General features: G+C 38.3%; 1 long non-coding RNA gene across 1 annotated transcript in view, besides 1 other annotated feature; it reads left to right on the top strand.

The window, feature by feature from the left end:
* Positions 1-25,905, top strand: part of NFKB1-AS1 (NFKB1 antisense RNA 1) — an 83,885-nt gene that overhangs the window by 7,337 nt on the left and 50,643 nt on the right. The window lies entirely within an intron of this gene.
* Positions 16,213-17,412: an enhancer, noted in NCBI's record as "BRD4-independent group 4 enhancer chr4:103398895-103400094 (GRCh37/hg19 assembly coordinates)". NCBI's record gives its function as "activates an origin of replication core promoter dependent on BRD2, P300/CBP, MED14 and CDK7 cofactors, and independent of BRD4, by STARR-seq in HCT116 cells {active_cell/tissue: HCT116}" and the evidence as "EXISTENCE:reporter gene assay evidence [ECO:0000049][PMID:35650434]".

Raw genomic sequence — 25,905 nt, 5'->3', positions numbered from 1 at the left:
CATATGCTGTTTAATATGTCAACTGAATTATAAATAATAAATTGCTTACGTTTCTTGAAACAATCTCTGGAAATTATTTGAAGCTTAGGTTAAAATTGAGTAAGGAATATTTGTGCTTCTTTTTGCCTGTTATCTGGTATACTATTAACTTGGAAAAACCTTAAATAAAATTTTTTACTTGTGTGCTTTTGATCATCACATATAGTGTAAGTGGTTATGAATTCACAGGTGAGAATTTCTTCTTTTTCTGTCCAGTGACAAGGACTAGATAGGCAGTGTTATCGTTTGAACATGTCCCCCAAAGTTCCTGTGTTGGGACTTAACTCCCCATTCAACAGTGTTGAGAGGTGAGACCTTTGAGAGCTGATTGGGTCATGAGGTCTCTACCCCCATAAATGGATGAATGCCATTATTGTAGGAGTAGGTTACTTTCTCTCTTGAGTGTCTGCTCTTTTGCTCTTCTGCCTTTCACTATGGGATGATGTAGCAAGAAAGCTTTCACAAGATGCTGGCACCTTGATATTGGACTTCCCAGCCTCCAGAACTGTGAGATACAAATTTCTTTTCATTATAAATTACCCAGTCTGTGGTTTTCTGTGATAGCAACACAAAACAGACTAAGTCAATTTCTCAGCTATTCCCTCCAGTTTTTCAGTTTTGGAAATATTTAGATTCCTGAATTTCATGCCGGCTAAGCAGTATTAATTTTTAAAAATATGTTATGTAGCATTTCAGTTATTTCCATTAGTTATTTCATTTTAGTTATTTCAACCAGGAAGGGTATACTGTCAGAAACACATGGAGTCATTACCTATTTTTAAAATATGTATATTTTATCATTCTAGCATCTATCATATATTTAACTCCTAATCTTTAATTATATCTTCTTGAGTGAATTTATTACTTTTTAGAAAAGTTTTCACCTGGCTCTTCTAACAGTTCTATTTCAACAAAACACCTGTTTGAAGTGTTTATCTTAGTTTTCCTCTCTGGCTTGCTAGTACTACTAGGGCAAGTTATTATTTTCCATTTCCTGTTCAGACCTCAGGCTCTGTATACACTGACCTATAATTACAGGACAAGTAGTTAGGGTCTTTTATGCAGTGGCAAACCTGCCAGGGGAAAGGTTTCTGCTTTTGTGGGCTGGCAGTAAACCAACTGGCAATCTGTCCACACCCAGCTGAAGCTTTAAAAAAAGTCTTTCTTCTCCCAGAGCTCCCTGGGTGCAAGGGAGAATGCTTGCCTAACCTCAGGGGCTACAAGCAACTCTTCCATGAGTGCAGCGTTCCTCCATATGACCTGTCACTACCCAGATTAGTCTGACCTTCCCAAGAACACACACAAATAAGCCCATGTAATGCTTTCCTGAAGGCATTCATAGGTTTCCTCAGGCTAACTTTCACTGGAAGCCATAAAATTGAGACCTTTGTTTTAAGTCTTTCTATAACAAGGCCCTCCAGACTACCTAAAACAGAGAAGAGTGAGAGTATCTCTTTCCTTTTAGAGACCCTGGAGCCTGTGACCTCAAGTGACCCTGCTTTAGATGCCCCTGCTTACCTGCAGTAGCATTTTTTCTTGTTGGGGAAAGTAATTGAGAAGAGATTGGGAGGGTAAATTTGGGGACCTGTGTTCCATTACTATCTTCTTACAATGCTGTGAGTCACATGTCTACTTTTAGTGACAAGGAGGGTCTATCTCATCTGGAAGACATGAATTAGTAATGCTAGATTATGGTTAGCTAAGCGTAAATTGGGGCACTGTTATCAAAAAAAGGAAGAAGGGAAGACAAAGAGTATAAACAACAGATATCACCTCTATGTAGCACCTGTAAGGCTTATGCATAGTAGGTATACATAGATATACTTATCTGTTTTACTGATAGACATATCAGTAGATATACAGATCAGTTTTTTACTGCATTTTCTTTGAAATAAGTAATATAATTAAATGCCAGGAAGAGAGTTTTTTTCCAATGGCGTATTATAAATTATCAATATAATGCTGAGCATATACTTATCTTGGTTAGGATGCTTTTCACCTAAGGTGAAAAGATGTAAAATTATGACTCAAAATGACTTAACCATTATGGAATTTCATCAGGTCACATCGTTGAAAATCTTTAGGTTTAATGTAATCACAATTCTGGCTCTCTTCCCTTCAGAGACATTTTCTTTTCTTCTGTCCCTGTGTTAACAGTTTCCTCATGCTGGCTTTTCTCTTGGTCAAAAGATGGCTTCCAGATATACTAGGGACATACTTTCTTGTTGTAAGAGATGGGGTTGGGGGATTGGAGAGAGAGAGAGAGAGAGAGTTGTTTTTGATATATATATATACCCATGAGACCATCACCATAATAAAGACAGTGACCATGTGCATCAGCTGAAAAGTTTTCTCATGGCCCTCTGCAGTTCCTCATTTCCATTCCTCACTCCTCCACATTCCTAAGCAACCACTGATTTGCTTTCTGTCATAGATTAGTTTGCATTTTCTAGAGTTTCATATAAATGGAATCATACAGTAGGTACTATTTTTTATCTGACTTCTTTCATTGAGCATGATTATCTTAAAATTCATCCACCTTGTTGTATCAGTAGTTAATTCCTTTTTATTGTTGAGTAGCATTCCATTGTATAGATAGTCACAATTTATTTATCCATTTTCCTGTTCATAGACATTTAGGTTGTTTCCAGTTTTGGGATATATTAATAAAACCACTAAAACATTTGTGTGTAACTATTTAACTGTTTATATAGACATATACTTTCTTTTGTCATGGGAAATACCTACAAGTGAAATGGCTAGAGCGTATAGTTAGCATACATGTAACTTTTTAAGAAACTGCAGACTGTTCTCCCAAAGAGTATATTATTTTATATTCCCACTACAGGAAATGAGAGTTCTAGCTCCTTCATATATTTGCAATCCTTGGTATGGTCAGTCTTTTTTATTTTAATCGTCTCAATTGATATGTTTAGTGGTATCTCATTGTGCTTTACTTTGCTTTACCCTAATGACTAATGATGATGGGCATCTGTTTATGTGCTTATTTGCCATTTGGTGAAATGCATGTTCAAATGTTTTGTTTACTTTTGGTGTATTTTTTTTCTTATTATTGAATTTTGAGAGTTCATTTTATATTCTGGATAAAAGTATTTTACCAGATATATGATTTGCAAATACATATTTTTTAGCCTGTGACTTGTCTTTTCATCCTCTTTTGCAGAGAAGATTTTAAATTTGATGAAGTATAATTTGTCAGTTTTTTACTGCATTGTGGTTTCAGTGTTGTATCCACATACTCTTTGCCTGACTCAAACTCACTAAGATTTTCTCCTCTATTTTCTTCTAGAACTTTTGTAGTTTGAGGACTTAAATTCAGGTCTATGATACATTTTGAGTTAAGTTTTGCATATAGTGGTACAAGATATGGATTGAAGTTTTTTCTTTTTAGATTATTGATTTCCAACTGATTCTGCAGCATTTGTTGAAAAAAAAAACTATCCTTTCTTCACTAAATTGCCTTTGCAAATTGTTAAAAATCAGTTGTATCTGTATGTCTGGACTCTATTTTGTTCCATTGATCTTTTCTCTATCTATATGATAATACCACACCTTTTTGATTACTTTATAGCTTTACAATAAGTCTTGAAATCAGGAAGTGTTAGTCCTCCAACTTTGTTCACTTTTTCAAGGTTGTTTTGGCTATTCTAGGTCCTTTGCATTTCTGAATTCATTTTAGAACCAGCTTGTCAATTTCTACAATAAGTTTGTTAGGGTTTTGATTTGGATTGCATTAAATCTCCAGAACAACTTGGGAAGAACTGCTATCATAATAATGAGTTTTTTGTCTCATGAACAGGGTATGTGTCTCCATTTACTTGGACATTCTTTAATTTCTCATAGTTGTGTTGTATGTTTTTCTCTATTTAGGACTTTCACATCTTTTGTCAGATTTATCCTTAAGTATTTATATTCTTAGTGCTATTTAAATAGTGTTTTAAAATTTTAATGTTAAGGCCGGGCACAGTGGCTCACGCCTGTAATCTCAGCACTTTAGGAGGCTGAGGTGGGCAGATTACTTGAAGTCAGGAGTTTGAGACCAGACTGGCCAATGTGGAGAAACCCCATCTCTACTAAAAAAAAAAAATCAAACATTGGCTGGGCATGATGGTGTGCAGCTGTAGTCCCAGCTACTTGGGAAGCTGAGGCAGGAGAATCACTTGAACCTGGGAGGCGGAGGTTGCAATGAGCCAAGATTACGCCACTACACTCCAGCCTGGGTGACAGAGTGAGACTCTGTCTCAGAAAAATAAAATACAATTTTAATGTTTAATTTCAGTTTTTCATTGCTAATATATAGAAATACAATTGATTCTTATTTATGGATCCTGCATCTTGCTACTTTGATAAATTCATTACTCTAGTAGGTTTTTTTTTGTAAATTTGATTGGATCTTCTACCTAGATGATCATGTCATCTGTGAATAAAATAGTTTTACTTCTTTTTTAACCTAGATGCCCTTTATTTCCTTTTTTTTTGCCTGATTGCGCCAGTTAGAATCACTGGTACAATGTTCAATAGATGTGGTGCAAACAGACATCTTTGTTTTATTCCCAATTTTAAAGGAAAAGCATTAAATCTTTTCCTATTAAGTATGATGTTTGATCTAAGTTTTTGTAGAGGTCCTATGTCAGGATAAGGAAGTTACCTTCTATTTCAACTTGGGTGAGATTTTTTTTTTAAATATCATTAATGTGTTGGCTTTTGTCAAATGTGTTTTCTGCCTGAATTGATACGGTCATATTATTTTTCTTTTTTAGTTTGTTAATATATTGAAATTCATTGATCTTTGAATGTCAAATGAATGCTGCATTCCTAGGATATCTCCCAGCTGTTATTCATATTATCCTTTTTATATATTGTTGAATTCAATTTGCCAAAATTTTGTAAAGCACTTTTGCATCTATGTTTATTAAGGATACTTGTCGGTAGTTTTATTTTCTTGTAATGTCTTTATCTTGTTTTGGCCTTAGGATAATGTTAGCATTTTAGAATGAATTGAAAAGTGTTCTCTCCTCTTCTAATTAAAAAATATTTTAATAGGTATTTGGGTAACAGGTGGGGTTTGGTTACACGGATAAGTTCTTTAGTGGTGATTTCTGAGATTTTGGTGCACCCATCACCCAAGCAGTGTACACTGTACCCAACGTGTATTCTTTTATCCTTCACCCCCTCTTCCACCCTTCCCTCTGAGTCCCCAAAGTCCATTGTATCATTTTTATGCCTTTGTGTCTTCATAGCTTAGCTCTCACTTATAAGTGAGAACATACGATGTTTAGTTTTCCATTCATGAGTTATTTCACTTAGAATAATGGTCTCCAATTCCATCCAGGTTGCTGCAAGTGCCATTATTTTGTTACTTTTTATGGTTGAGTAGCATTCCATTTTCTATCTATCTATCTATCTATCTATCTATCTATCTATCTATCAATCATCTATCTGTCTATCTAATCTATCCATCATCTATCTATGTATATCTCACATTTTCTTTATCCACTTGTTGATTAATGGGTATTTGAGCTGGTTCCTATTTTTGCAATTGTGAATTGTGCTGCTATAAACCTACATGTGCGAATATCTTTTTCATATAACAACTTCTTTTCCTCTGGGTAGATACCCAGCAGTGAGATTGCTGGATCAGATGGTAGGACTACTTTCAGTTTTTTAAGGAATCTCCATACTGTTTTCCATAGTGGTTGTACTAGTTTACATTCCCACCAGCAGTATAAAAGTCTTCCCTTTTCAGCACATCCATGCCAACATCTATTATTTTCTGATTTTTTAATTGTGGCCATTGTTGCAGGAGTAAGGTGGTTTTGTATCTATTATTTTTTGATTTTTTAAATTGTGGCCATTCCTGCAGGAGTAAGGTGGTTTTGTATTGTGGTTTTGATTTGCATTACCCTGATCATTAGTGATGTTGAGCATTTGTTCCTATGTTTCTTGGCCATTTGTATATCTTCTTCTGAGAATTGTCTATTCATGCCCTTAGCCCACTTTTTTATGGGATTATTTGTTTTATTTCTTGCTGATTTGTTGGAGTTTTTTATAGTTTCTGGGTATTAGTCCTTTGTTGGATGCATAGTGTATTAGTTCATTCTCACGCGGCTATGAAGAAATACCCAAAACTAGGTAATTTTTAAAGGAAAGGGGTTTAATTAACTCACAGTTCTGCAGGGCTGAGGAGGCCTCAGGAAACTTATAATCATGGCAGAAGGGGAAGCAAACACATCCTTCTTCATATGGTGGGATTAGATGGTGCCAACCCACACTGAGGATGAGTCTTCCTCTCCCAGTTCACTGACTCAAATGTTAATCTCCTTTGGCCAAACCCTCACAGACACACCCAGGAACAATACTTTAAATCCTTCAGTCCAATCAAGTTGACACTCAATATTAATCATCACACATAGTTTGCAAATATTTTCTACCACCTGTGGATTGTCTGTTTACTCTGCTAATTATTCCTTTTTCTGTGCAGAAGATTTTTAGTTTATTCCCATCTATTTATCTTTGTTTTTGTTGCATTTCCTTTTGGGTTCTTGGTCATGAAGTCTTTGCCTAAGCTAATGTCTAGAAAAGTTGTTCTGATGTTAATTTCTAGCATCTTATGGTTTCATGTCTTAGATTTAATTCTTTGATCCATCTTGAGTTGATTTTTATATAGGGTGACAGATGAGGATCTGGATTCATTCTTCTACATGCGGTTTGCCAGTTATCCCAGGACCATCTGTTGAAAAGGGTGTCCTTTCCCCATTTTATGTTTTTGTTTCCTTTGCTGAAAATCAGTTGACTGTAAGTATTTGGCTTTATTTCTGGGTTTTGTATTCTGTTCCATTGGTCTATGTGCCTATTTTTCAGTGCCATGCTGTTTTGGTGACTATGGCCATAGAGTATAGTTTGAAGTCAGGTAATGTGATCCCTCCAGATTTGTTCTTTTTTCTTAGTCTTGCTTTGGCTATGCAGGCTCTTTTTTGGGTTCCATATGAATTTTAGGATTTTTTTTTCTAATTCTGTGAAGAATGATGGTGTTATTTTTATGGGAATTGCATTGAATCTGTAGATTGCTTTTGGCAGTATGGTTATTTCTCACAATATTGGTTCTACCCAATTATGAGCATGGGATGTGTTTTCCATTTGTTTGTGCCATCTATGATTTCTTTCTGCAGTGTTTTGTAGTTTTCCTTGTAGAGGTCTTTCACATCCTTGGTTAGGTATATTCCTAAGTATTTTATTTTATTTTTACAGGTATTGTAAAAGGGATTGAGTTCTTGATGTGATTCTCAGCTTGGTTGCTGTTGGTGTATAGCAGTGCTACTGATTTGTATGCATTGATTTTGTATCCTGAAACTTTACTGAATTTATTTATCAGATCTAGGAGCTTTTTGGATGCATTTTTAGGGTTTTCTAGGTATGTGATTATATCATTGGTGAACAGCAACAGTTTGACTTCCTCTTTACTGATTTGGATGCCCATTCTTTCTTTCTCTTGTCTGACTGCTCTGGCTAGGACTTCCACTTCTATGTTGAATACAAATGGTGAAAGCAGGCATCCTTGTCTTGTTCCAGTTCTCAGGGGGAATGCTTTAAACTTTTCCCCATTCAGTATAATGTTGGCTGCGGGGACTTTTATCACCTTAAGGTATATCCCTTCTATGCCGATTTTGCTGAGGGTTTTAATCATAAAGGGATGCTGGCTTTTGTCAGTTTTTTTTTCTGCATCTATTGAGATGGTCATGCAATTTTTGTTTTTAATTCTGTTCATGTGGTGTATCACATTTTTTGACTTGTGTATGTTAAACCATCCCTGAATCCCTTTTATGAAACCCACTTGATTATGGCGAATTGTCTTTTTGATATGCTGTTGGATTCGGTTCACTAGTATTTTGTTGAGGATTTTTGCATCTATGTTCATCAGGGATGTTGGTCTGTAGCTTTCCTTTTTTTTGTTATGTCCTTTACTGGTTTTGGTGTTAGGATAATACTGGCTTCATAGAATGATTTATGAAAGATTCCCTCTTTTTCTATCTTTTGGAATAGTTTCATTAAAATTGGTACCAATTCTTATTTGACTTTCCGATAGAATTCAGTTGCGAATCTGTCTGGTCCTGGACTGTTTTTTGTTGGCAATTTTTTTTTGTTTCCATTTCAATCTCGCTGCTTGTTATTGATCTGTTCAGAGTTTATATATCTTCCTGGCTCAATCTAGGAGCATGTATTTCCAGGAATTTATCCATCTCTTCTGGGTGTTCTAGTTTGTGCACATAAAAGTGTTCATAGTAACCCTGAATTACCTTTTGTATTTCTGTGGTATCTGTTGTAATATCTCCCATTTCATTTCTAATTGAGCTTATTTGGATCTTCTTTTATTGGTTAATCTCACTAATGGTGTACGAATTTTGTTTATCTATTCAAGTAAACAGCTTTTTGTTTCACTTATGTTTTGCATTTTTGTTTCAATTTCATTTAGATCTGCTTGGATCTTAGTTATTTTTTTTTTTCTTCTGCTGGGTTTGGGTTTGGTTTGTTTGGTTTCTTCTTGTTTCTATTGTTCTTTGAGGTGTGAGCTTAGATTGTCTGATGCCTACATCAGAATTTTTGATGTAGGCATTTAATGCTATGAACTTTCCTCTTAGCACTGCTTTTGCTGTATCCCAGAGGTTTTAACGGGTTGTGTCACTATTATTGTTCAAATAATTTTTTATTTTCCATCTTGATTTCATTGCTTACCCAAAGAACCTTCAGGAGCAGATTATTTAATTTCTATGTATTTGTTTAGTTTTGAGGTTCTTTTTGGAGTTAATTTCCAATTTTATTTTGCTGTGGTATGAGGGAGTACTTGATATAATTTTGATTTTCTTAACTTTATTGAGACTTGTTTTGTGACCTATCATATCATCTGTCGTGGAGAATGTTCCATGTGTGGATGAATGGAATATATATTCTGCAGTTGCTGGGTAGAATGTTCTGTAAATATCTGCTAAGTCCATTTGTTCTGGGTTATACTTTAAGTCTTGTTTCTTTGTTGACTTTTGTCGTGATCACCTATCCAGTGGTGTCAGTGGAGTATTAAAGTCCCCACTATTATTGTGTTGCTGTCTATCTCATTTCTCAGGTCTAGTAGTAATTGTTTTATTAAATTTGGAGCTTCAGTGTTAGGTGCATATATATTTAGGATTGTGATATTTTCCCTTTGGACTAGTTCTTTTATCATTATATAATGTCCCTCTTAAACATGAGAATTATTTTATTCCCCACTCCTTTTTCCCTCCTTTTGACTCCTTCTTTCCTCTCTCTGTCCTCCCCACCCCCATTTTCTTTTTTTTTTTTTTAATTATTATACTTTAAGTTCTAGGGTACATGTGCACAACATGCAGGTTTGATACATAGGTATACATGTGCCATGTTGGTTTGATGCACCCATCAACTCGTCATTTACATTAATTATTTCTCCTAATGCTATCCCTCCCCTAACCCCCATCCCCCGACAGGCCCCAGTGTGTAATATCCCCTGCCCTGTGTCCAAGTGATCTCATTGTTCAATTCCCACCGATGAGTGAGAACCTGTGGTGTTTGGTTTTCTGTCCTTGTGGTAGTTTGCTGAGAATGTTGGTTTCCAGCTTCATTCATGTCCCTGCAAAAGACATGAACTTTTATTTTATAATAAATATCCTTATTTATGGCTGCATAGTATTCCATGGTGTATATGTGCCACATTTTCTTAATCCAGTCTATCATTGATGGATATTTGGGTTGGTTCTAAGTCTTTGCTATTGTGAATAGTGCCACAATAAACATGTCTATGCATGTGTCTTTATAGTAGCATGATTTATAATCCTTTGGGTATATACCCAGTAATGAGATTGCTGGGTCAAATGGTATTTCCGGTTCTAGATCCTTGAGGGATCGCCACACTGTCTTCCACAATGGTTGAACTAATTTATACTCCCACCAACAGTGTAAAAGCGCTCCTATTTCTCCACATCCTCTCCAGCATCTGTTGTTTCCTGACTTTTTAATGATTGCCATTCTAACTGGTGTGAGATGGTATCTCATTGTGGTTTTGATTTGCATTTCTCTGATGGCCAGTGATGATGAGCATTTTTTCATGTGTCTGTTGACTGCATAGATGTCTTCTTTTGAGAAGTGTCTGTTCGTATCCTTTGCCCACTTTTTGATGTGGTTGTTTTTTTTGTTGTAAATTTGTTTGAGTTCTTTGTAGATTCTGGATATTAGCCCTTTGTCAGATGGGTAGATTGCAAAAATTTTCTCCCATTCTGTAGGTTGCCTGTTCACTCTGATGGTAGTTTCTTTTGCTGTGCAGAAACTCTTTAGTTTAATTAGATCCCATTTGTCAATTTTGGCTTTTGTTGCCATTGCCTTTGGTGTTTTAGTCATGAAGTCCTTGCCCATGCCTATGTCCTGAATGGTATTGTGTCTGGAATTGGTGGGTTCTTGGTCTTACTGACTTCAAGAATGAAGCTGTGGACCTTCGCGGTGAGTGTTACAGCTCTTAAGGTGGCGCGTCTGGAGTTTGTTCCTTCTGATGTTCAGATATGTTTGGAGTTTCTTCTTTCTGGTGGGTTTGTGGTCTCGCTGGCTTAGGAGTGAAGCTGCAGACCTTCGCGGTGAGTGTTACAGCTCTTAAGGCAGCACGTCTGAAGTTGTTTGTTCCTCCCGGTGGGCTAGTGGTCTTGCTGGCTTCAGGAGTGAAGCTGCAGACCTTCACGGTGAGTGTTACAGCTCATAAAAGCAGCGTGGACCTAAGGAGTGAGCAGTAGCAAGATTTATTGCAAAGAGCAAAAGAACAAAGCTTCCACAGTGTGGAAGGGGACCTGAGCCGGTTGCTGCTGCTAGGCTCGGGCAGCCTGCTTTTTTTCTCTTATCTGGCCCTACCCACATCCTGCTGATTGGTGGAGCCGAGTGGTCTGTTTTGACAGGGCGCTGATTGGTGCGTTTACAATCCTTGAGCTAGATACAAAGGCTCTCCACGTCCTTATTAGATTAGTTAGATACACAGTATCCACGCAAAGGTTCTCCAAGGCCTCACTAGAGCAGCTAGATACAGAGTGTCGATTGGTGCATTCACAAACTTTAAGCTAGACACAGGATGCTGATTGGTGTGTTTACAAACCTTGAGCTAGATACAGAGTGCCGATTGGTGTATTTACAATCTTTGAGCTAGACGTAAAGGTTCTCTAAGGCCCTACCAGAGCAGCTAGATACAGAGTGTCAATTGGTGCACTCACAAACCTTGAGCTAGACACAGGGTGCTGATTGGTGTGTTTACAAACCTTGAGCTAGATACAGAGTGCCGATTGGTGTATTTACAATCCTTGAGCTAGACATAAAGATTCTCTAAGGCTCCACCAGAGTAGCTAGATACAGAGTGTTGATTGGTGCACTCACAAACTTTGAGCTAGACACAGGGTGCTGATTGGTGTGTTTACAATCCTTGAGCTAGACATAAAGACTCTCCATGTCCTCACCAGACTCAGGAGCCTAGCTGGCTTCACCTAGTGCATCCTGCACTGGGGCTGCAGGTGGAGCTGCCTGCCAGTCCTGCGCCATGCACTTGCACTCCTCAGCCCTTGGGTGGTTGATGGGACTGGGTGCCATGGAGCAGGGGGCGGTGCTCCTCCTCGGGGAGGCTCGGGCTGCACAGGAACCTACGGAGGCGGGGGAAGGCTCAGGCATGGGGGACTGCAGTCCTTAGGCCTGTCCTGTGGGAAGGCAGCTAAGGCCTGGCGAGAAATCGAGTGCAGCACCGGTAGGCTGGCACTGCTGGGGGACCTAGTACACCCTCCGCAGGCGCTGGCCCGGGTGCTAAGTCCTTCATTGCCTAGGGCCGGCAGGGCCGGCCGGCTGTTCTGAGTGCGGGGCCTGCCAAGCCCATGCTCACCTGGAACTCCAGCTGGCCCGCAAGTGCCCTGGTTCCTGCTCGTGCCTCTCCCTCCACACCTCCCTGCAAGCTGAAAAAGCCGGCTCTGGCCTTGGCCAGCCCAGAAGAAGTCTCCCATAGTGCAGCAGTAGGCTGAAAGGCTCCTCAAGTGCCGCCAAAGTAGGAGCCCAGGCAGAGGAGGTGCCGAGAGCGAGCGAGAGCTGTGAAGACTGCCAGCACGCTGTCACCTCTCGGTATTGCCTAGGTTTTCTTCTAGGGTTTTTATGGTTTTAGGTCTAACATTTAAGTCTTTAATCCATCTTGAATTAATTTTTGTATAAGGTGTAAGGAAGGGATCTGTTTCAGCTTTCTACGTATGGCTAGTCAGTTTTCCCAGTACCATTTATTAAATAGGAATCCTTTCCCCATTTCTTGTTTTTGTCAGGTTTGTCAAAGATCAGATGGTTGTAGATATGTGGCATTATTGCTGAGGCCTCTCTTCTGTTCCATTGGTCTATGTATCTGTTTTGGCACCAGGACCATGCTGTTTTGGTTACTGTAGCTTTGTAGTACAGTTTGAAGTCAGGTAACATGATGCCTCCAGCTTTGTTCTTTTTACTTAGGATTTTCTTGGCAATGTGGGCTCTTTTTTGGTTCCATATGAACTTTAAAGTAGTTTTTTCCAATTCTGTGAAGAAAGTCATTGGTAGCTTGATGGGGATGGCGTTGAATCTATAAATTACCTTGGGCAGTATGGCCATTTTCATGATATTGATTCTTCCTATCCATGAGCATGGAATGTTGTTCTTCCATTAGTTTGTGTCCTCTTTTATTTTGTTGAGCAGTGGTTTGTAGTTCTCCTTGAAGAGGTTCTTCACATCCCTTGTAAGTTGGATTTCTAGGTATTTTATTCTCTTTGTAGCAATGAATGGGAGTTCGCTCATGATTTGGCTCTCTGTTAGTCTGTTATTGGTGTATAAGAATGCTTGTGATTTTTGCACATTGATTTTGTATCCTGAGACTTTGCTGGAGCTTAAGGAGATTTGGGGCTGAAATGATGGGGTTTTTCTAAATATACAATCATGTCATCTGCAGACAGAGACAGTTTGACTTCCTCTTTTCCTAATTGAATACCATTTATTTCTTTCTCTTGCATGATTGCCCTGGCCAGAACTTCCAACACTATGTTGAATAGGAGTGGTGAGAGGTGGCATCCTTGTCTTGTGGCAGTTTTCAAAGGGAATGCTTCCAGTTTTTGGCCATTCAGTATGATATTTGCATGGGTTTGTCATAAATAGCTCTTATTATTTTGAGATAAGTTACATGAATACCTAGTTTATTGAGAATTTTTAGCATGAAGGGTTGTTGAATTTTTTTGAAGGCCTTTTCTGCATCTATTGAGATAATCATGTGGTTTTTGTCATTCGTTCTGTTTATGTGTTGGATTATGTTTATTGATTTGTGTATGTTGAGCCAGCCTTGCATCCCAGGGATGAAGCCAACCTGATCATGGTGGATAAGCTTTTTGATGTGCTGCTGGATTCAGTTTGCCAGTATTTTATTGAGGATTTTCACATCGATGTTCATCAGGGATATTGGTCTGAAATTCTCTTTTTTTGTTATATCTCTGCCAGGCTTTGATATCAGGATGACGATGTCCTCACAAAATGAGTTAGGGAGGGTTCCTTCTTTTTCTATTGATTGGAATAATTTCAGAAGGAATGGTACCAGCTCCTCTTTGTACCTCTGGTAGAATTTGGCTGTGAATCCACCTGGTCCTGGAGTTTTTTGGTTGGTAAGCTATTAATTATTGCCTCAATTTCAGAAACTGTTATTGTACTATTCAGAGATTCAAATTCTTCCTGGTTTAGTTTTGGGAGGGTGTATGTGTCCAGGAATTTATCCATTTCTTCTAGATTTTCTAGTTTATTTGCATAGAAATGTTTATAGTATTCTCTGATGCTAGTTTGTATTTCTGCAGGATTGGTGTTGATATCCCTTTATCATTTTTTATTGCGTCTATTTGATTCTTCTCTCTTTTCTTCTTTATTAGTCTTGCTAGTGGTCTATCAATTTTGTAGATCTTTTCAAAAAACCAAATCCTGGATTCATTGATTTTTTGAAGGGCTTTTTGTGTCTCTATCTCCTTGAGTTCTGCTCTGATCTTAGTTATTTCTTGCCTTCTGCTAGCTTTTGAATGTGTTTGCTCTTGCTTCTCTAGTTCTTTTAATTATGATGTAAGGGTATTGGTTTTAGATCTTTCACACTTTCTCTTGTGGGCATTTAGTGCTCTATATTTCCTTCTACACACTGCTTTAAATGTGTCCCAGAGATTCTGGTACTTTGTGTCTTTGTTGTCATTGTCATTGGTTTCAAAGAACATTTTTATTTCTGCCTTCATTTCATTATTTACCCAGTAGTCATTCAGGAGCAAGTTGTTCAGCTTCCATGTAGTTGTGTGGTTTTGAGTGAGTTTCTTAATCCTGAGTTCTAATTTGATTGCACTGTGGTCTGAGAGACAGTTTGTTGTGATTTCTGTTCTTTTATATTTGCTGAGGAGTGCTTTACTTCCAATTATGTGGTCAATTTTAGAATAAGTGCGATGTGGTGCTGAGAAGTATGTATATTCTGTTGATTTGGGGTGGAGAGTTCTGCAGATGGCTATTAGGTATGCTTGGTGCAGAGCTGAGTTCAAGTGCTGGATATCCTTGTTAACCTTCTGTCTTGCTGATCTGTCTAATATTGACAGTGGGGTGTTAAAGCCTCCCATTATTATTGTGTCGGAGTCTAAATCTCTTTGTAGGTCTCTAAGGACTTGCTTTTTGAATGTGGGTGCTCCTGTATTGGGTGCATGTATATTTAGGATAGTTAGCTCTTATTGAATTGCTCCCTTTACCATTATGTAATGGCCTTCTTTGTCTCTTTTGATCTTTGTTGGTTTAAAGTCTCTTTTATCAGAGACTAGGATTGCAACCCCTGCTTTTTTTTTGCTTTCCATTTGCTTGGTAGATCTTCCTCCATCCCTTTATTTTGAGCCTATGTGTGTCTCTGCACGTGAGATGGGTTTCCTAAATACAGCACAATGATGGGTCTTGACTCTATCCAATTTGCCAGTCTGTGTCTTTTAATTGGAGAATTTAGCCCATTTACATTTAAGGTTAATATTGTTATGTGTGAATTTGATCCTGTCATTATGATGCTAGCTGGTTATTTTGCCCATTAATTGATACAGTTTCTTCCTAGCATCAGTAGTCTTTACAATTTGTCATGTTTTTGCAGTGGCTGGTACTGTTTGTTTCTTTCTATGTTTAGCGCTTCCTTCAGGAGCTCTTATAAGGCAGGCCTGGTGGTGACAAAATGTCTCAGCATTTGCTTGTCTGTAAAGCATTTTATTTCTCCTTCACTTATGAGGCTTAGTTTGGCTGGATATGAAATTCTGGGTTGAAAATTCTTTTCTTTAAGAATGTTGAATATTGGCTCCCACTCTCTTCTCGCTTGTAGGGTTTCTGCCAAGATATCTGCTGTTAGTCTGATGGGCTTCCCTTTGTAGGTAACCTGACCTTTCTCTCTGGCTGCCCTTAACATTTTTTCCTTCATTTCAACCTTAGTGAATCTTACAATTATGTGTCTTGGGGTTGCTCTTCTCGAGGAGTATCTTTGTGGTGTTCTCTGTGTTTCCTGAATTTGAATGTTGGCCTGCCTTGCTAGGTTGGGGAAGTTCTCCTGGATCATGTCCTGAAGAATGTTTTTTAACTTTGTTCCATTCTCCCCATCACTTTCAGGTACACCAATCAAATGTAGATTTGGTCTTTTCACATAGTCCCATATTTCTTGGACACTTTGTTCATTTCTTTTTACTCTTTTTTCTCTAACCTTGTCTTCTCGCTTTATTTCATTAATTTGATCTTCAGTCACTGACACCCTTTCTTCCACTTGATTGAATCAGCTATTGAAGCTTGTGCATGCCTCATGAAGTTCTTATGCCATGGGTTTTCAGCTCCATCAGGTCATTTAAGGTTTTCTCTACACTGTTTATTCTAGTTAGCCGTTCATCTAACCTTTTTTTCAAGGTTTTTAGCTTCCTTGCAATGGGTTCAAACATGCTCCTTTAGTTCGGAGAAGTTTATTATTACCAACCTTCTGAAGCCTACTTCTGTCAACTTGTCAAAGTCATTCTCAGTCCAGCTTTGTTCTGTTGCTGGCGAGGAGCTGCAATCCTTTGGAGGAGAAGAGGCGCTCTGATTTTTAGAATTTTCAGCTTTTCTGCTCTGTTTTCTCCCCATCTTTGTTGTTTTATCTACCTTTGGTCTTTGACGTTGGTGACCTACAGATGGGGTTTCGGTGTAGATGTCCTTTTTGTTGATGTTGATGCTATTCCTTTCTGTTGTTAGTTTTCCTTCTAACAGTCAGGTTGCTCAGCTGCAGGTCTGTTGGAGTTTGCTGGAGGTCCACTGCAGACCCTGTTTGCCTGGGTGTCACCAGTGGAAACTGCAGAACAGCAAATAATGCAGAACAGCAAATATTGCTGCCTGATCCTTCCTCTGGAAGCTTTGTCCCAGAGGGGCACTCCCCTACTGGGAGGTGTCTCCCAGTTAGGCTAAACGGGGGTCAAGGACCCACTTGAGGAGGCAGTCTGTTGGTTCTCAGAGCTCAAACGCCATGTTGGGAGAACCACTGCTCTCTTCAGAGCTGTCAGACAGGGACATTTAAGTCTGCAAAAGTTGTCTGCTGCATTTTGTTCAGCTAAGCCCTGCCCACAGAGGTGGAGTCTAGAGGCAGCAGGCCTTGGTGAGCTGTGGTGGGCTCCACCCATTTTGAGCTCCCCAGCCACGTTGTTTACCTACTCAAGCCTCAGCAATGGTGGACGCCCCTCCCCCCGCCAGGCTTCCACCTCGCAGTTTGATCTCAGACTGCTGTGCTAGCAGTGAGCAAGGCTCCCTGGGCGTGGGACCTGCCAAGCCAGGTGTGGGAGAGTATCTCCTTGTCTGCCAGTTGCTAAGACTTTGGAAAAGCGCAGTATTTGGGTGGGAGTGTCCCGTTTTTCCAGGTATAATCTGTCACGGCTTCCCTTGGCTAGGAAAGGGAAATCCCTCTATCCCTTGCATTTCCCTGCTAAGGTGACACCACGCCCTGCGTCAGTTCACCCTCTGTGGGCTGCACCCACTGTCCAACCAGTCCCAATGAGATGAACCAGATACCTAGTTGGAAATGCAGAAATCACCCTTCTTCTGGGTTGATTACACTGGGAGCTGCAGACCAGAGCTCTTCCTATTCGGCCATCTTGGAATGGATCTTTATTTTCTTGAGATGATTACAGTCCTAGCTGATGTCTTGATTGCAACCTTATGAGACATCCTGAGTCAGAGTCCTCCAGCTGATCTGCTCCCAAATTCCTGATCCACAGAAACTTGCTTGTTTGTTTTTCAGGAAGAAATAATAGCTGGTACAAACCCTTGATGAAAACAACGTTTATCTCTCTACTGAATTTCCACAGAAACTGGAAGTTGGAGCATACCTCTCACATGTCCCGTACCAGGACCCCCTCTTTGTCTTTTTTAACTGTTGTTGCTTTAATGTCTGTTTTGTCTGATATAAGGATAGCTACTCCTGCTCACTTCTGGTGTTCATTTGCATGGAACTTCTTTTTCTACCCCTTCACCTTAAGCTTATGTTAGTCCTTATGGGTTAGTTGACTCTCTTGAAGACAGCAGATACTTGGTTGGTGAATTCTTATCCATTCTGGCATTCTGCATCTTTTAAGTGAAGCATTTAGGCCATTTACAGTCAACATTAGTATTGAGATGTGAGGTGCTATTTTATTCATCGTGCTACTTGTTGCCTAAGTTTTTTTTCATTGTGTTATTGTTTTATAGGCCCTATGAGATTAATGCTTTAAGGAGGTTCTATTTTATCGAATTTCAAGGTTTTATTTTAAGATTTAGAACTCCTTTTAGTAGTTCTTGTATTGCTGGCATGGTAGTGGCAAATTCAGCATTTGTTTTTCTAAAAAAGAGTTTTCTTCATTTATGAAGCTTAGTTTTTCTGAGTACAAAATTGTTGGCTAATAACTGTTTTGTCCAAGGAGGCTAAAGATAGGACCCCAATCCCATCTAGCTTGTATGGTTTCTGCTCAGAAATCTACTGTTAATCTGATAGGTTTTCCTTTATAGTTTACCTGATACTTTTGCCTCACAGCTCTTAAGATTCTTGCTTTTGTCTTGACTTTAGATAACCTGATGACTCTGTGCCTCGGTGATTATCTTTTTGCGATGAATTTCTTAAGTGTTCTTTGAGCTTCTTGTATTTGGATGTCTAGATCTCTAACAAGACCAGAAAAGTTTTCCTGGATTATTCCCTCAAATAAGTTTCCCAAACTTTTAGATTTTTCTTCTTCCTCAGGGGCACCAATTATTCTTCGGTTTGGTCATTTAACATGATCCCAAACTTCTTGGAGCCTTTGTTCATTTTTTAAAAATTCTTTTTTCTTTGTCTTTGTCAGATTGGTTTAATTCTGAAGCCTTGTCTTTGAGCTCTGAAGTTCCTTCTTCTACTTGTTTGATTCTATTGTTGACACTTTCCAGTGTATTTTGCATTTCTCTAAGTGTGTGTTTCATTTCCAGAAGTCGTGATTGTTTTTATTTATGCTATTTCCCTGGAAATTTTTTCATCCATATCCTGTATTATTTTTAAATTTTCTTTAAGTTGGTTTTCATCTTTCTCTGGTGCCTCCTTGGATAGCTTAATAGTCAATCTTCTGAATTCCTTTTCTGGCAATTCACAGATTTCTTCTTGGTTTGGACCCATTGCTCGTGAGCTAGTGTGATCTTTTTTGGGGTGTTAAAGAACATTGCTTTGTCATATTACCAGAATTGTTTTTCTTTTTCCTTCTCATTTGGGTAGACTGTGTCAGAGGAAATATCTGGGGCTCAAGGGCTGCTGTTCACATTCTTTTGTCTCACAGGGTGATCCCTTGATATGGTGCTCTCTTCATTCACCTAGGGATGAGGCTTCCTGAGAGCCAGACTGCAGTGATTGCTTTTGCTCTTCTGGGTGTAGCCACCCATTGGAGCTACTGGGCTCTAGGCTAGTACTGGGGAGTGTCTGCAAAGAGTCCTGTGATGTGATCAGTCTTCAGGTATCTCAGCTGTGGCTACCAGCACCTGCTCCAGTGGAAGTAACAGAGGAGTGAAGTGGACTCTGTAAGGGTCCTTGGTTGTAGTTTTGTTCAGTGAACTGGTTTTCTCAAGTGCTGGTTGTGCTAGTGGTAAAGTTGTCATGTGGACAGACTCAGGACCTCTGGTTAGCCATGATGTTACAGACCATGTAATTAGCTGTTGTCTTCTTTGTTGGAGCAGGGTTGTTCTTTTATAAGGGTTGTAATAGCTTGAGTTGATTCACCTCCAGTCAGGAGGTGGTGCTTTCAAAAGAGTACTATGGGGGGATAATATGGGGGCAAACCAGCCTACCCTAAGGAGGGTGTAGTATAGGTGGGATGCTAGCTTGCGCTATGGTCACCTGGATAAATATTCAGGTCTCTCAGGTGATGGGCAGGTCCATAGAGCTCCTAAGAGATTATGTCTTTTGTCTTTGGCTACCAAGGCAGGTAGAGAAAGACCATCTGTTGAGGGCAGGGTCAGGTATGTCTGAGCTCAGACTCTCCTTGGGCAGGGCTTGCTATGGCTATAATAGGAGATGCAGGTGTGGTTCTCAGGCCAATGGAGTTATGTTCCAAGGGAATTATGGCTGCCTCTCCTGCATCATACATCACACAGGTCACCAGGGAAGTAGAGGAAAGCCAGCAGTGACAGGTCTCACCCAGCTCCCATGCAGCCAGCAAGGCCCGTCTCACTCCCGCCATGCCCCACCAGCACTGATTTTATATCCAGGCAGCCAGTGAGTAAGACTGAGATCTTGCCCCAGGCTACAAGCCTCCTTGCTGAGAAAGCAAGCAGGGATTTCAGGCTCCAACCCTCCTCACCTGCCATGACTTCTGTGCTCCTGTCTGCACTTCCTGTCTGCCCAGGACAATTTACGCTTGGCTGAAATTATTATGAAGGTCAGCTGGAAGTTTCCTTCTCCTTGTGGTCTTTCCCCAATTCCACTGGGAGCCCTCCCAAAAGACCCCTGTGAGATAAAGTCAGAAATGGCTTCCCTGGGCTTCCCTGGAAGCAGGGAGTTCCTACAGGGCTCTCCCTGCTGCTTTGTTTACGTTTCTATTTCTCTTGGCTCTCTAGTTTCAGCTCTAGGTAAGGTTAAATCCTACTCCCATGATCTGGATTTTCAGGTTTCCCAGTGAGGATGTGTATTTGGAAGCGGACTTTCCTTCTCTCACACTTTGGATACTCACAGTTTTTTGGCTGTCTCACAGAGTTTGTAGCAGCAAGCCTCTTCTTTCAAAGGATCTGTGAATTCTTTTAGTATTCCTGGTATCTTCCTGCAGTAGCTCTTGGAGTAAAAGTTCACAATATGAGTCTCCACATGCTGTTCTGTCCATCTGGGTAAGAGCTGCAAGTTAGTTCTGACTCCTATCTGCCATTTTTTCTCTCTTCCATTTTTTTATGTCTGTGTGTTTGTGTATAGATATTGCATTATTTTTTCTTTCTACAAATGCTTAGTAAACTTCTCTAGTGAAGCTCTCTTTACCTGGATTTTTTGGTTGTTGTTAAAAGATTTTAAAGTATAATTTCAGTTTAATAGATATTCCACTCTTCATACTCTCTATTTTTCTTGAGTGATTATTGGTAGTTAATGTCTTTAAAAAAATTTGCCAATTCCTCTAAGTTATTGAATTTGTAGTCATAAAAGTGTTCATAATATTTCCTTCTTACCCTTTTTTAAAAAAATTATGTTTCATTTTGACGCAACTGTAGATTCACATACAACTGTGAGGAAGAATACACAGAGATCTTGTGTAGCTTTCACCTAGTTTCCCTCAATGTAATATTTTGCAAAACTATAGTACAATATTATAGCCAGGATGTTGACACTGATACATTCAAGATACAGAACATTTCCATCACTACAGGCTCTCTCCTGATGCTCTTTCACAGCTACACCCACTTCTCTTCCTCTTCCATCCCTCTTTAACCCTTAGCAGTCACTAATCTGTTCTTCACTTCTATAATTTTGTTACATCAGATATGTGAATATAATTATACAATGTATGATCTTTCAGAATTGTTTCTTTTTCACTTAGTACAAATCCCTGGAGATTCATCCAGGTGGTTGTGTGTATCAACAGTTCATTCTTTGTTATTGCTGGGTAGTATTTTATGGTACAGCTGTTCCAGTTTGTATACCCATTTACACATTGAAGAACATCTGAGCTGTTTCTACTTTTTTTGTTTTTTTAGAGACCAGATGTCTCTCTGTTGCCTAGGTTGAAGTATACAGGTTGCCATGATTGTAGTTTACTACAGCTTTGAACTTCTAGGCTCAAGCAATCCTCTCACCTCAGTCTCCCAAGTAGCTGGTCCTACAGACACCACCACACCCTGCTAATTAAAAAAACTATTTAGAGACACGGTCTTGCTATGTTGCCAAGACAAATCTCTCCCAGCCTCAGGCAATCCTCCTGCCTCAGCCTCTCCAGTGGTTGAGATTACAGGTGTGAGCCACCATGTCTGATGTTTCTACTTTTTGGCTATTGCAAATAAATCTTCTATAAACATTCTTTTACAGGTGTTTGTGTGAACATAAAGTTTCATTTATATGGAATAAATACCCAGGAGTGTAATTGGTAGATCATAGGGTAGTTGCATGTTTAGTTTTTAAAGAAACTGCTAAACTACTAAACTGCTTTCCAGAGTGGCTGTACCATTTTACATCCCAAGCAGTGACACCTGAGTGATCCAGTTTCTTCACACCCTCACTAGTATTTGGTGTTGTCACTATTTTTTATTTTAGCTGTTCTCATAGGTATGCAGTGGTATTTCATTGTGATTTTAGTTCACACAGCCTTAAGGGCTGATGAAGTTGCACATATTTTCATGTGCTTACTTACCATCTATTTATCCTCTTCAGTGAAGTTTCCATTTATGACTTTCATTCATTTCTAATTGGATTGAGTGTTTACACTGAGTTTTGAGAGTTCTTTTTGTATTCCAGATACTAGTCCTTTGGTGGCCATGTGATTTGTAAATATATTCTCTCAGCCTGTAGCTTGACTTTTCATCCTCTTAACTCAGTCTTTTCTAGAGCCAAAGATTTATATTTTGATGAAGTCCAATGTATCATTTTTTTCCATTCATAGATCATATTTTTGGTGTCAAGTCTAGGGACTTTTTGCCTAACCCTAGATCCCAAAGATTTTCCCCTGTGTGTGTTTTTTTTAAGTTTTATAGTTTACATTTTACATGCAAGTGCATGATCCACTTTGAGTTAATTTTTAACTTTGGTCAAGGTTCATTTTTTTTTTTTTTTTTGGCCTATGGATATCTAATTGTTCTGGAACAATTTATTGAAAAGGCTATCTTAAGGACAGGCACAGTGGCTGATGCCTGTAATCTCAACACTTTCGGATACCAAGGTGGGAGGATAGCTTGAACCCAGGAGTTTGAGACCAGCCTGGGCAACATAGTGAGACCCTGTCTCTCAACAAATTAAAAAATAGCCAGGCATGTTGGTGTGTGCCTGTATTCCTAGCTACTAAGGAGGCTGAGGTGGGAGAATTGCTTGGGCCTGGGGGGTTAAGGCTGCAGTAAGCCATGATCCTGCCATTGTACTCCAGCCTGGCTGAAAGAGTGAGACTTTGTGTCCAAAAATAAAAAAAGACTATCTTTTCTCTATTGAATTGCTTGTGCACGTTTGTCTAAAGTCAAGTGGGCATATTTCTGTGAATTTATGAATTTATTTCTGGTTTCTCTATTTTGTTCCCTTTATCTATATATCTGTCTTACTTACAATAACTCACAATCTTGATTACTATAGCTATAAAATGTCGGAATTAGGTAGACTGTTTCTTCCCGTTTTTAAAATTCTTTTTCAAAGTTTTTTTTAGCTATTTTAATTATTTTGCCTTTCCATATATAATTTTTGGAATAATTTGTCCTTTTTTATCTAGTTCCTCTATATTTTTGTTATATTTTAGAATTTTTTCTGTACCTATTAAAAGTCTTGCTGGGATTTTGATAGGAAATATATTAAACCTGTATATCAATTTGGGGAGAACTGACATATTTACTATGTTGAGTCTTCCAATCCTCATTGGCTGCTCATTTATTTAGATCTTCTGGAGTTTTTTCTTTAGCATTTTATAGTTTTCAGCATGTAAATCCTATACATGTTTTGTTAGATTTACACCTGTTTCTTTTTTTTTGAGTGATTGTAAATATCATATTTTTAATTTCAGTGTTCATTGCTAATATATGGAAATAAAATTAATTTTTAAACAGACAATTTTTTTTTCACAGCAGATTTAGGTTCACAGCAAAATTGAGAGGAAGGTAAAGAGATTTCTCATATACCCCCTGCTCCTACACATGCATAATAGGCTCCTCTGTTACTGACATCCCGGCTAGAGTGGTGCATTTGTTACAACTGATCAACCTACACTGACACATCGTCACCCAAAGTCCGTAGTTTACATTAAGGTTCACTCTTAATGTTGTACATTCTATGGGTTTGGACAAATGTATAATTGCATAGATCCACCAAGATAGTATCATACAGAATATTTTCACTGCCCCCAATCCTCTGTGCTCCACAACAGTTGATTTTTGAATGTATATCTTGTACCCTGTGACTTTTCTCAACTCATTTATTAGTTCTAGGAGTTCTTTTTACAGATTCCTTGGGATTTTCTATGTAAACAATCATGTTATCTGCAAATAGAAACAGTTTTCTTTCTTTCTTTTTGGTCTGTATACCTTTTATTTCATTTTCTAGCCATGATGCGCTGGCTAGAACTTGTAGCACTATGTTGAATAAGAGTGGAGAGAGTGGGATCTTTGCCTTGCTCCCAGTCTTAGGGGGAAAGAATTCAGTTTTTCACTATTAAGTATAATGGAAATTGTAGGTTTTCTTACAGATGCTCTTTGTCAAATTGAGAAAACTTCCCTGTATTTCTATTTTTCTGAGTGTTGTTTTTTTAAAATCATGAATGGGTGTTGAATTTTGCCAAATGATTTTGTTTCATCAGTTGATATGATCATGTAATTTTTATATGACATATTACATTGATTGATTTTAAATATTAAAGCAGTCTAGCATCCCAGGGATAAATCACACTTTGTAATAGCATATAATTTTTTTTAGATATTACTGAATCTATTTTCCAAATATTTCATGTTTATATTCATGAAAGATATTGGTCTATAGTTCATTGTGTGTTGTGTGTGTGTGTGTGCTGTCTTTGGTTTTGGTATCAGTGTAACACTACCTTCACAAAATGAATTAAGAAGCATTCATTCTTCTTTTATTTCCTGGAGAAATTGTGTAAAATTGGGGCTAATTCTTTCGCTCTTTGTTCAAATTCTCCAGTGAAACTCTCTGGGGTTGGAGATTTCTTTCTTTTCTTTTTTTAAGTCTCAAAATTATGAATTTAATTTTGTAAGTAGTTATTTGGCTATTCAAAGTTTCATACTGAGTGAGTTGTGGTAGTTTGCACTTTTAAGAAATTGATCCATTTTATCTAAGTTGCCAAATTTGTGTGTAGAGTTGTTGATAGTATTCCCTTATTACCTTTTGTTGTCTGCAGGGTCTGTGGTAATAGCACCTTACCAATATATTTGACATCCCTCACCACAGATTATAGTTTTGTCATAGGTGAAAGGAGAGGCTTTAACCCATTAAAATAACTTTTATCTCTAAAGACCTACCAACTGCGATTCAGAACAACCTATGTGTGTACTCATTTTAAAGTGGAGTATATATTTTCAGCCTCTTTTTTTATAGAGCCCTTTATGGCATATTTGAGGTAGAAATGCAAGCTCTTACAATACTTTACATGCTGTTTAGAGTTTAGATTTAAAAAGAAAAAACAAGGAAGAGAAATGTGGTAAAGAGTTAAAGATCTGGTCCTTTAAAATCAATTATTTTATAGAATTATCTAATTTATAGTTTATAGAGATGATTCAAACATTTGTTCTCAATAATTCTAAATCTGGGTATTAACTGAAAGGATGTGGATAGTAAACTCTGCTCCCTCAAACAGTTAACATCCTTTCATCAAAAAGCTTAAATCCTGCTGAAGGAAGGAAGTTGGTTGCAGGAAATACCTCATTTAATTACATGATGAATTGAAAAAATACTATCGTTTTACTACCAGAACCAGCATTACAGGCTTACATCAAACATGCATCTGTGCAGACATTAATGCTAGATCAAAAATCTTGTATTGATTTACCTGATTTAGTTGTATTATCAATTGCTGTCTCCTCTTCTCCCATGTATATTACTAGTGAGATTTGTTGGCAACTTGTGCAGGTTGTACTATTAAAAAAAACGCTTGTTGTGCTGAAATTTACATGCAAGAAAAAATTCAATGGGAATGACGGCAGTTGTGTTCCTATAGCCATAGAATCCTTTGCTGGGTGAGGTATCATCATGTGAGACAGGGATGGGATTGGAGTCAAAGCCATTTGATTATGAGCTTAGCATTACAACTTAATAGCAGTATGATTTGGGCAAGTTATCTAAACTCATTGAACTTCAATTTCTTTATGGAAAGTGAGATTAGTAATTATGATATTACAAGAATTAGAAAAAGTTCATACAGTGTGCTCACAATGCCTGCCTGATTTAAAAAAAATACTCAACAAGTCATAGCTATGATTATTACTCTGCAGCAAGAACTACAACAACAATAATGATAAGAAGAAAAAATAAAATGTTAATTTTTCAGTATTATTTTAAATATTGAGCAAGAGTCTTAAATTTAAATGGCATCTGGCTAGCAGGTATTGTTTCAGTAACTCTCTGAATTCCTTGCAAAAATATTTACGGATGCCTATAATATCAGCTAC

Source organism: Homo sapiens, chromosome 4 (genome assembly GCF_000001405.40).
Source record: "Homo sapiens chromosome 4, GRCh38.p14 Primary Assembly".
Classification (NCBI taxonomy): domain Eukaryota; kingdom Metazoa; phylum Chordata; class Mammalia; order Primates; family Hominidae; genus Homo; species Homo sapiens.
Note: the sequence above shows the minus strand (reverse complement) of the source record. Positions and strands in the feature narration are given on the sequence as shown.